Source organism: Homo sapiens, chromosome 8 (assembly GCF_000001405.40).
Source record: "Homo sapiens chromosome 8, GRCh38.p14 Primary Assembly".
Taxonomy (NCBI): domain Eukaryota; kingdom Metazoa; phylum Chordata; class Mammalia; order Primates; family Hominidae; genus Homo; species Homo sapiens.
The window spans coordinates 12,934,161-12,946,896 of NC_000008.11; the positions used below are offsets into that span (position 1 = coordinate 12,934,161).

Below are 12,736 nucleotides of genomic sequence, written 5' to 3' on the forward strand. Positions count from 1 at the left end.
TGCAGTGAGCCAAGATGGGGCCATTACACTTCAGCCTTGGCAACAAGAGCGAAACTCTGTCTCAAAACAAAACAAAACAAAACAAACCTGTGTGGAATCAGTACAAAAGTAGATAAACACATCAATAAAATACATTAAAATACAGAAATTGATCCTTCAAATATAATTATGAAGACTTATGAAAAGAGGCCTTTAAGTAGGGAAAAGGTTGTACAATAAATGATGTTGAAATAGATTCGGGGCAAAAACGGAATGTCATATGTTGTTTTGGTCAAGGTTCATAGTTTCAAAAAATAAAATTCCTTCAAACTAGTTTAAGGTAAATGGAACATATTAGAGGGTACGTGGAGTACACAATCCTTGCAGGGAATTCGTGAAGAAAAAGATTCCAGTGTTTATTTTAAGGAATGACCAGCAAAACCAAACCACAGAACTAAACAGCCCGAGGAACTGGTGCATATACTACAAAAGGGGAAGCTGCAAAAATCAGACGTTTCTACCACAGCAGTGACCAGAACCACACCACTTCTCAGGAAGATGCCAAAACAGGAATCCATCTGCCTGATGAGAAGCGGCCACCATAGTTGTTGATTTCAGACCTTGCTACTTCCACCATGACCCAAACCTGCAAAGTGAATGCCCCATGCCCTTTCTTTCTCTCAAAATAACTCAGTTCAAATCACAGTCTCTTGTGAGAACCTCTGATTGGTAGAATGAGACTCGCATCCCTAAACCCTGGTTCTATGGAAGTCTGGAAGGTCAGAATGGTCATTGAGACATACTGCATTTATGACATGATCCTTATCTCTCACCACAGCAAAAATAAATAAAGAACAAAGCCATTACACAAAAATATAGGCAAGCGTTTTTATAATCATACGAAGGAGAAAGATTTCAAAAACAAAATATGAACCCCAGAAGTCATTGTATAAAAAAGATTAATAGCCTTGACTCCCTAAAAAGTGAAAACTTTTAGATGACAAAAGAGAAACAAAATTTAGAAGTCTCATAGCTGGGAGAAAATTTAGCAACATTTATAGCAAAAAAAGGAGGGTTTAGAATTAATAAAAAGACCTTACAAATCAGTAAGAAAAAGATATCCAGCTCTATGAAATTGGGGAAGTGAAATGAGCAAGCAACGATATTCGACTGTTCTTGCATTGCTAGAAATACCTGAGACTGGATAATTAACAAAGAAAAGCCTTTAATTGGCTCACAGTTCTGCAGGCTTTACAGAAAGCATGGTGCTGACATCTGCTTGGCTTCTGGGGAGCCCTCAGGAAGCTTTTACTAGTGGCGGAAGGTGAAGCAGGAGCAGGCATGTCACATGGCCAGAGCAGGAGTAAGAGAGAGAGAGTGGGAGATGCCAGATACTTTAAACCAGATCTTGCGTGAACTCACTCATCACTAAGGTGATAAGCCATTCATGAGGGACCCACCCCCATGATCCAGACATCTCCCACTAGTCCCCACCTCCAACACTGGGGATTACATGTCAACATGAGATTTGGAGGGGAACAAATATCCAAAGTATTTCAGTGATATTTAAATAAAAGCTACTTTTTATCCTATTTGTATAAGGATATAGTTGTTTTGCAATTGCACAGAAATCTAGAGGAATAAAACACCCTTAAAAGAGGCTAATTCTGGGAAGGAAAGTGCAAGTGAGGGGAGAAGGAGGTTGTCAAAAGGGCCCTTTCTTTTGTACATCTTCCCTGTTGTTTGAATTTTTACAAAAATATATTTGGGTATTAGCTGTACAGTTAAACTATAAAATCTTATTTTGCTGGCTTTATAATAGTTAGCAATAAACATATATTTTTGCATTTCAGGGTATGGCTGGAGGCCATTTCAGTGCAATAACAACCATGGTGGGCTTTTTCAATGCTTAGATGTATTTTCTGAAATCAGAAGCTTGTGTTTATACTTTGGATAATTACAAATCCTTGATAATTAATTCCATGCAATTTTTACCATTTTGCTCATATGATATACATTTCTTGATTTTATAATTGGGAAATAAATATTTTATTTATTTCATTTTTGAGACCAGGTTTTACTCTGTCACTAGGCTGGAATGCAGTGGTGCTGTCATACCTCACAGCAACCTCGAACTCCTGGGCTAAAGTGATCCTCCCACCTCAGCCTCCTGAGTAGCTGGGGCTACAAGCACAGGCCACCACCCCAGCTAATTTTTAAATTTTTTGGTAGAAGCAGGGTTTCACTATGTTGCCCAGGCTGGATTGAAACTCTTGGCTCAAGTGATCCTCTTTCTTTGGCTCCCAAAGTGCTGGGATTACAAGCATGAGCCACTGTGCCTGGCCTAGTTTGTTTTCTATTTATAGTACTACTTACTGAGCCTTCAGCAATAGAGTAGGCGTCACCAATTGCCATCTCCCTCACTTCTCCCTAAATAATGATATTCAATTTTTCACCTTCATACAAGCATAGATTTGTGACTAATTATAGAAACCATAAGGGAAAAAGAATATACGGAGGGATAAGTGTCCAAAAACCCTGTCTTTCCTGAAATAATTCAGCAGTATTGATTTAGAGCAGTTGAATCATTACCACCCCTTCTGTAAATATATCAGTCAAGACAGAAATAACTTCTGAGAACTGAGCCTCTTCCTACTCAGAAGTGCTGTGACTGAAGGTAACAAAAATCATTAAAAACTTGAAATTGCAACAAAAGGAATTTAGATTAAATTTAATGACAAATTTTCCCGCTGTGAAAGTTATTAAATACTTGAAGAATTATAAAACTGTGAACATTTATATTTAAAAAATGCACCTCTCTCAATCATCATTAATAATACTTTAGCAATTCCACAAACATTTTTTGAGTATCTACTATGTTCCAAGTTCTGTGCTTGTCACTGGGAAGTATAAAGATGAATGAGACATGATCCTACACACAGGGAATGTATCAAACCTGTGAGAGAAATGAAATGCACCAATTCATTCATTTGTTGGATAAATATTGTAAATGCCAACCATTGGGCATTAGGGATATGATGGTGACCAGCACTCGACTATGGATGTGGAATAAGGGAAGAAAATTCTGTGATGGGTTACAGTGGAGCAAGATTATTTTGCCTGTGATATGAAACAAAGCTTTATGTAAGGGGCATTTGAACTCTGTCATAAGTACAGTTTTAATAGATAAAAATATGGAAAGAGGAAATGTCAGGTTGAGAGAACAGTATGAGGGAAAGGAAGAGAATGTGATAGTAGAGGGTGTGTTGGTATGTACCTGAGGCAGAACTGAAACTCAATACATGATAAACACAATAGGATGCTAGAGGCTATCACTAACAACCCCTAAATCTCAATAGCTCACATCACAGTCACATTTAGAATTCAGACTGTGATCTTCTACATGGAGATTCATGAATCTCTTGGGTCTCTCTTCCTTACTAATTCTACCTGTATTCAGCAGACAAAGAGAGACAGAGAATGAAAGAGCAAGAAAGAGAGATCATGACATAGAGGAGGCTGTACAGAGTGAGCACTAGAACTTGCCATGCATCATTTCTGTCCACATTCTATTGGCCAGAACTAAGTCACATGGATGTGGTCCCACTTAAACACAAAGGAGACTGGGCTATGTAGTCTCCTGCGTGCCCAAGAGGTAACTGAGCCTAGTTTGTTGATCACTTAACGTTATCTCTGCCACAGAGACAATATTATCTATAAAGACCAATTTATTTAAGAGGACTATTGTTTAGTGTTTAAGTAATTTGTATTTAGTTACTGATACATGAAACATGAACAACATTATGTACGTTGCAAACAACTTTTTTTTAATTTTCTTTTTTTTTTAAGAGACAGGATCTTGATATGTTGCCCAGGCTGGAGTGCAATGGCGATTGACAGGCACAATCATAGCACAGTATAGCCTCAAACTCCTGACTTCAAGAGATCTTCCCACCTCAGCCACCCAAGTAGCTGGATGGAAGCAAATATTGAATAACTATTTTACAAGATGCACTCGACTCTGAAAATGCAATAAATGATATAATTACTGAAGGTGCTTACAATTTAGACAAGGGAGAGGACACACAGAGTGAGAGAATTACAATATAATATGGCATATGGTAAATGACAATATACAAAGCAACACTTTATATGATTTTAATTTATGATTCATATAATGCTATTCTGAAAAAGAAGCAAAATATATTGTTATTTGGATTTCATTACATAGTTTTAAGGTAGGCTTATCGTATTCTCCAAGCATAGACAAAATATATTGGCCTTTAAAAAATCAGACAAGTGCAAATGAAAACTGAAGACCTTGATAAACAGACAGTATTATTTACTCTCTAAGGAAAGATACAATTCACATAGCTGTCATGGCGATTTAGTCAGTACACCTGAAAAAAGTTACTTGATCTCTTGACAAGTTAAAAAAAAAAGATTTTGACATTTCATTTGAATCATTTACATTTCTCACATAGAGAAAGTTTACCATAATCATTAAGAATATTGGCATTAGAGTTAGATGCAAATCATTTCAAGTCACAGCCCAGCTTTTTGTTGGCTTGGGGCAAGTTCCTTAACCTCCCTTAACCTCGGTTTCCCCCATTTGTGAAACAATAGGGATCATAACAATAATAACACTAATGCTTCCTCAGGATCTCCTGAGGATTACATGAGTTAAAGCTCCATTGTATTTCGTCCACCACAGGGCACATTATAAATACTTTTTAAATGAAAGATTATGAGAGTGTTAAAAATCAATGTTTTGTAGATTATTTAACAACACGATATGTTGCACAAAAAATGCAATTTAAAGTAAAAATGAATACAATGTAATCCCAACTTTGACTGACACAGACAGACAGAAAAGAAATGCACCAAAATATTAACAATGATGTTTGTAGGTGGTACAATTATGGATGTTTTTATATTCCGGGTCATACAATTCTGAATCTTCAGAAGTTTAGGGGTAAACATTTGTTTCTTTTATTTGCATCGTATTATTTCGAAAATCCCTTACATCCCTTAAACTTTGTATGCATACATAACTGCTTTATTAACATGATGTGATTCCATCTGTTATTTTCTCCTAAAGACAAGGCCACCCTGAGGAAACTCTTGACTTTGCTCTTGCCTTAGAATAATTGGCCAGCAACGTTAAAAATTCATCTGCTGAGAAGCAAATAGGTGTTTTGTTTGTTTGTTTCTAGTTTTTTTCTTAGTCAATAGTAAAAACATAACATACCTTTTCAAATCCTCATTTTTTTCCCCTTTTTTGTCTAATATTTCCTGGATCCTGAATGAATACATATTGGAATAATTCCAAATAATTTCTATTGTTAAATTTTACTGACATTTAAACATGACAATTGGAGATATCAAACTCTAGAACCCCAAACCATTGCAGAGTTTCTTTAAAGCTGAAGCTAAGGTATACAGAGTGCATACATTTATTTGGCTTTGTACATTTAGGTATAAATTGCAATCTTGAGAAAAAGTGTTCATTTTTGTTTCCATTTTAAATAGCTTTCTCTTTTGCATGAACATTTCTTTAAACATTTTTTAATTGACAGATAAAATTGTCTGTAGTATATATAGAGTAGAATGACTAAATCTAGCTAATTAACATATGCATTATCTCACGTAGCTATCATTTTTGTGGTGAGAGCACTTAACATGCACTAACTTAGCATTTTGCAACAATACAAGATGTTATTAACTATGGTCATCATATTTACCATAGATCTCTTGAAGGCATTCTTCCTATCTGACATTTTGTGTTCTTTGACCTATATCCCCACCACCAAATTGCAACAAAAGGAATTTAGATTAAATTCCTTTTTTAGATTCCACATATGAGTGAGATCACATGTTTTTTGTCTTTCTGTACCTGGCTTATTTCACTGAACACAATACCCTCCAGGTTCATCCATGTTGTCACAAATGGCAGGATTTTCGTCTTCTTTTTTTGAGACAGGGTCTCCCTCTGTTTCCCAGGCTGAAGTGCAGTGGTATGATCATGGCTCACTGCAGCTTCGACCTCCTAGGCTCAAGCAATCCTCCTGCCTCAGCCTCCTGAGCAGCTGGAACTACAGACACACGACCACACCAGCCTAATTTTGTGTGTACGTGTGTGTGTGTGTGTGTGTGTGTGTGTGTGTGTTTTGGTAGAGGCAGAGTTTCACTATGTTGCCCAGGCTGGTCTTGAACTCCTGGGCTCAAGTGATCTGCCCCACCTCGGCCTCCCGAAGTGCTGGGATTACAGGTGTGAGCCTCTGTGCCTGCCTGCCTTTTTTTTTTTTTTTTTTTTTTGGCTAAACAGTGTGCATGAACATTTCTTGAATCTTGATTACAAAATTACAAGTTAAACTTTGTGTAAACAAAATTTTCTTTTAACATGTATTAAGTTTGAATATAGGAAAATTGTGCTTGACATTTTTCTTAAATTGTGTGCTCCAGGTTATGCTGATCCGATTTGTAATCAGATAGAATTGAGAGAAGTGACCTATGTTACCTTACAGTTGCCTGTATACGTCCTGAATAGTAAATGTAGAAAAGCTTTGCTGTGGGGAAAGAAAAGAGCCACTGTCCAAAATCATGGATGAATTCTCTCCTGCAATTAAGAAAGTGATGGGCCATCGGAGAAATGCAAATCAAAACCACAGTGAGATACCATCTCACACCAGTTAGAATGGCTATCATTAAAACGTCAGGAAACAATAGATGCTGGAGAGGATGTGGAGAAATAGGAACACTTTTACACTGTTGGTGGGACTGTAAACTAGTTCAACCATTGTGGAAGACAGTGTGGTGATTCCTCAAAGATCTAGAACTAGAAATACCATGTGACCCAGCCATCCCATTACTGGGTATATACCAAAAGGATTATAAATCATGTCGCTTTAAAGACACATGAACACGTATATTTATCGCGGCACTATTCACAATAGCAAACACTTGGAACCAACCGAAATGTCCAACAATGATAGACTGGATTAAGAAAATGTGGCATATATACACCATGGAATACTATGCAGCCATAAAAAAACGATGAGTTCATGTCCTTTCTAGGGACATGGATGAAGCTGGAAACCATCATTCTGAGCAAACTATCGCAAGGACAGAAAACCAAACACTGCATGTTCTCACTCATAGGTGGGAATTGAACAATGAGAACACGTGGACACAGGAAGGGGAACATCACACACTGGGGCCTGTCGTGGGGTTGGGGGAGTGGGGAGGGATAGCATTAGGAGATATACCTAATGTAAATGACGAGTTAATGGGTGCAGCACAGCAAGATGGCACATGGATACATATGTAACAAACCTGCACGTTGCGCACATGTACCCTAGAACTTAAAAGTATAATTTAAAAATAAATAAATAAATAAATAAATAAATAAATAAATAAATAAATAAAGGACGAGCCAAGGAAACTTCCCACCCGTCTGGCCCTGAGCAGTGACTTCAACCTCTGTGCTATTTCACCTGCAATCTTCTCCTGCGAATGGCATTTTCTCCCGTTTTGTTGTTTTTGTTTCCTGATGGTAATTTATTTTTCTTTTAGACAAACTACAAGAAAAAAATAACTTCTCTGACCTTTAGTGCCTGTTTTGACTGCTCAGTTGGATTTTTAAAATGCTTCTAGTCATCTTTCTACTGATAATTGTTATTTGTGGCAACCTCATGGAAGAAGCTAAGGCACAAAATATAATTTTAAAGCGTTTACTTGAGCCAAGATGAGGACAGCTGCCTGAAAGACTCAGACCCAAGTAACTTTGGATATGAGCTTCATTCAACCTTTCTTACAAGCAGGTTTTTAAAGGCAACAAGGCAGACAAGTTGTCAGGAATTCCCATTGGTTAACAGAAATGACAATGATTAGTAATTAGCTATATATTTTTGAACTATAGGATATTAGTTATGGTGTCCAGTGCATGGCATTGTTAGGTTAATTTACAGCTACTTGTGGCGACAGTCAGTCTAGAGCAAGCAGATTCAAGAGATGATTAGCTTAGCTCCAGGGGAGAAGTGGGGCCTGACTGCTGCCTCATTCCCTTGCCTCTCTGGGCCTGATCATTTACAGGAGGCTTGCATTCCTCGGATAAAGTTTCTTTTCTTTCTCATTTGCTTATTCTGTTTCCTTTTCTTCTTTCACATTAAATGGGAAGAAGAAAGTACAAATTCCAGTTCAACAGGTATGTGCAGTCTTATGCCGAAACTAGGACGCCATTTTCCTGGATTATCCATGAAAACATTTTTTCATGGTCTCCAAGGCGGATTCCCTGTTCTGGTCTCAGCTGGATCCTTCAAATAAATTGGATGAAACCAATCTTTGCCATCTCTTTCTCGCGTTATTTATACCTTGACTTGACTCCTATTCCAAACATAACCAGTTTCATCACCAGTACAGAAGGTGACACCATCGGAGCAGGAAAGAGAAATAAGAGCTGCAAAGCCTGTGTTGTGAAAATACTAGGCTCATTCTTTGTCCAAACACCTGAAAAGACTGTGTATTCTGCCATTTGCCAAAGTACATTGTCATATCACATCAAAGAACCCCAGCCCAGGAGGGGACATTGAGGTGTCTGACACGACTTCCTGTCTGATGTATGGGTACCCTCTACAAACATCACCAGTAAACGAGCTGCCCTCTTCCTCTGCCGATCCAGAGACAAAGAGTTGTGCCTCTTGCAAAAGCTCTGCTTTTATGCAGTTCAAACTTTAGAAATCTCTTCCTCTAGTTGAGTCTAAATGTTCTTCCCCGTAACTTGCATTCACTGGTCCAAGTCTGCCCTCTGGAGCATCTCAGAATAAGTCTCCTTCCTCTTCCATCTCACAAGTTCTTCCTAAATTTTTCGGATGAATTAAATAGAAGCTTCTACCAACTATTAACTCCATACCCAGCCTTTTGAAATGCAGCTTGGAAAATGGGAAATTTTCCTACTGAACCTTTAGATCATAAATGGATGCAATAAAGAAAGCACCAAATTCCTTCTTTATTTTACAACTCTACAAATCTCTAGGGATGACATGAGCACAGGTGAGTGCACAAGTACACACAATGCACACACACACACACACACACAGAGTGACCCTATTTCTCCATTTTTCCTAGAGCTGACTTTCACACAAACCCAAGATTACCATTACGAATAGGTAGATATAATCAAGACACTTAGCCAGGGAGCCAACATTTGCCTTCACCTAACAAACAGAATGTAAATACAATAGGTAATTTATTTTTGACATAGACATAAAATAGCTTTTTACAATGGAATGATTTTCACTCCAGATCTAAGCAAAAATGCATTTTCTTTTAAGAATCGTGGGTGATCTCAGTGATTATCTGACTCAATGCTCTCTCTTTTTAGATAAGTAATTTAAGGCCCAGAGGTCTTGATTAAGATCAGTGTCACAGAACTCGGGTTATTTGAACTCTGAGAGGAAGGCTGAAGAAGATTAGTATTGTCTTGCTTGCTCTCAGAAGATAAGAGCTGTGCTTTGACAATTGCAAATAGTTTTCGAACAAAATTTTCTTATGGCACAGCTTTCTGAAACTATTTTACAATGCGTTAACTTCTAGTAACATACATTAGGATCTAATCTTAAGTATTAATTTATTTGAAAATATCTCAAAACTTGTATCCCCCAAAAAGTTCAAAATATATCTCCAGAGAAAAATAAAAACCAACTATCTCAAAATTCACCCTTTGTTTTCCCCAGAATCAAATCTCTAGGGATGACACGAGCACAGGTGAGTGCACAAGTGCACATAATGCACACACACACACACACACACACACACAGAGTGACCCTATTTCTCCATTTTTCCTAGAGCTGACTGTCATACAAACCCAAGATTACCATTACTAATAGGTAGATCTCATCAAGACACTTAGCCAGGGAGCCAACATTTGCCTTCACCTAAAAAACAGGATGTAAATACAATAGGTAATTTATTTTTGACATAGACATAAAATAGCTTTTTACGGTGAGAATGATGAGGTCATTGTGACTTCTACACTTGAAACAATTGGACTTTCTCGTACTTTTGCACTTGAGAATTTAAAATAATAATAAAGAGAACGAAAGAGTACTATGTTGGTACTGCTCCTCACATATTTCATTGGTAAGAGCAGTGATGAAATAGCAATAAAATTTATGAGACAAGAGTTGTGGCTATAAATAGGGATATGCTTTGCTCGCAAACTGCATAGAATCCCCTTCCCTTTAAAAAATATATAGAAGAGGCCAGGTGTGGTGGCTCATGCCTGTAATCCCAGCGCTTTGGGGGGCCAAAGTGGGTGGATCACCTGAGGTCAGGAGTTTGAAACCAGCCTGACCAACATGGTGAAACCCTGTCTCTACTAAAAATACAAAAAAATTAACCAGGCCTGGTGGCACGCGCCTGTAATTCCAGCTACTTGGGAGGCTGAGGAAGGAGAATCACTCGAACCTGGGAGTCAGAGATTACAGTGAGCTGAGATTGCACCACTGCACTCCAGCCTGAGGGACAGAGCAAGTCTGCCTCTCTCAAAAAAAAAAGTATATATATATATATATATATATATATGAAAATAAAATTCCATCACCTAGAGAAAATCACTAGTCACATTTTTGTATGGTTGTCCAGCATTTTCCCCTACATATATGTAAATATACTATATAATGTTAAAATATTGGGGTGAAACTGCTTTTTATTTAACACTGCATTGTATCTCCAGGTCATTAAATTGTCTTCAGGATCATGGCTCTGCATTTTTTAACATGTAGTTGCTCCCTTATTTATATAACACATTCTCTGTTGGTGAAATTTATTGTATTTTTTTGCAGTTTTTCTTTTCCTACCATGACAAATAAGCTCATCTTTTCCAGTCCTTGTTCATTCAAAGCTGGAAACAAACAACACACACACCCAAATCAGACCTGAGATTCTATGCACAAAAGTGCTTCTTGAAACAAATTATCTAATAGTATTGTAAAAAGAAAAAAAAAGAGATAAAATAAGCCAAGTGATATGTGTCACTCAGTGTTCCAGCGAAAAGCTGACTCCAAAAATTACGTGATCATAATAGCAGAATGATGAAAGAGTGACAGACAAAAGGTAAGAGCATGAGGATGAAGAGGTAATACTCAAACAGCTTTGGAAATGGAGAGGAAGCTGGCGAATGACACAAAGGACAGCTGGAGGATGAACCAGTTTCCCAAGGGGCAAAAGAAACAATGTTGTTTGACATCTTCAGCAAACATTCCAAACTGTAGGGAAGAGGGATGATGGGTTTGTGTTGGTGATAACAGCAAAGTATTAAAGCATGCCTAAAAACTTTCACCATAAAGCAACAATTATTCTTGGTAATGCTACCAGGATAACAAGTTTCTACATGTTGTCATGCTGGCAAAGAAAATAGGGTGTATTTAGAGATTAGATGCCCCATGGACATGTGGTCATGGAAACAAAAGCAAACAGCTAACGTGGCTATGTGTTGAGGTCAGTATTTGAGGGAACATCCGGTGTGTGTTTTATTCAGTATTGTGTAGTACAGAAAAGATCACACATGTATATGTCAGAAGTAGATGCACATGTTCTTTTGGCTTTTTTTCTTTGTTTTATTCTTTTTTCATTTTTTGTGTTTTTTGTTAGTTTGTTTTGAATTTTTTTTCTTGATGCATATGTTCCTTCAACTTATTCAGTACTTCCATGTGCAGGGCTCTGGACTAGACTTTCAGGATCTAAGGCTGAATCCTACACAGTCCTCCCTCTGGGAAAGTGATGAAACCTGTGAGCTCTCCTAGCAACTCTGCAGTCTTCCTTCAAGGTATGTGTTGCAATTTGGGGTTGCACATTTTAGTTGTGATATTTGTGATTAGTTGATTAATGTTTGTCATCCCACGAGACTATAAGTGCCATGAGGGTAGATATCTTATCTGTTTTGCTCCCCATTGCTTTTCTCACAGACTGCTCAGCAATGAATCTTTGTTGAATAAAATAATACTTTATACAAAGGTTAGTGATAAATGTAAGAAGCATCTAGATCAAGAACTGATACATTCTTAGGACAGAAAGATTAATCTAGACAATAGCTTTTTGTCTGGAATTATCTTTTATGGAAGAGACGGCCTTGGCAATCAGAAGAGCAGATTAAGCAATTAGTGTAATCATCTAGGTGGGAAGTAATGGGACATAAAGAACTAGAATAGAAACAATAAGAAGGGAGCAGAGTTGATAAATAAAAGCAGTACAGATACAAAATTGTCAGACGGTGGTCACCCATGGGCTATGAAGGGCAAGAAGAAGCAGAGTCTAAGAATGTGCCAGGTGACTGGGAGGACGGAGATTGTAGAAGAAAGAAAAGGGCAGCTGCTTTAGGTGCACGGAGGGCGAAGGACCTCAGGTTCGAATGTGTTGATGTCACCCTGGTGGAGATGTCAAGCAAGATGAGAGCATGGGATCTGCAGGTTTATGAGAAGACCAATTCAGAGAAACAGAATTTTGAGAAATCTACACAGCGTTTTTCCTTGCAGTTAGAAAGGTGGATGAGGTTGTCTAGGGAGATTATATAGAGAGAAAAGCAGAGGACCAAGGACAGGTGCTTGAGAAATGATGAGACTTGGCAGGACTACTTTTTTAAAAGTTCAGGAAGAAAGAGAAGAAGTGGCATTTCTCTTTTTGGTGCATAAAACCCTATAAGAGAAGAAACCATCCTATTCCCAATGCCAGGAAGTTCCCTATGTACCTTGAGAAGGTC

At 37.8% G+C, this 12,736-nt stretch overlaps 1 protein-coding gene across 1 annotated transcript in view, besides 1 other annotated feature; it reads left to right on the forward strand.

The window, feature by feature from the left end:
• Nucleotides 7,730–8,269: an enhancer, noted in NCBI's record as "NANOG hESC enhancer chr8:12799399-12799938 (GRCh37/hg19 assembly coordinates)". NCBI's record gives its function as "activates a minimal SCP1, AML or CMV promoter by ChIP-STARR-seq in primed H9 embryonic stem cells {active_cell/tissue: H9 hESC(primed)}" and the evidence as "EXISTENCE:reporter gene assay evidence [ECO:0000049][PMID:30033119]".
• Nucleotides 11,513–12,736, forward strand: part of TRMT9B (tRNA methyltransferase 9B (putative)) — an 84,105-nt gene continuing 82,881 nt past the window's right edge. Inside the window, exon 1 of the mRNA NM_020844.3 lies at nt 11,513–11,806. The gene's annotated coding sequence lies outside the window, so the exon portion shown is untranslated. The remainder of the gene's footprint in view (nt 11,807–12,736) is intronic.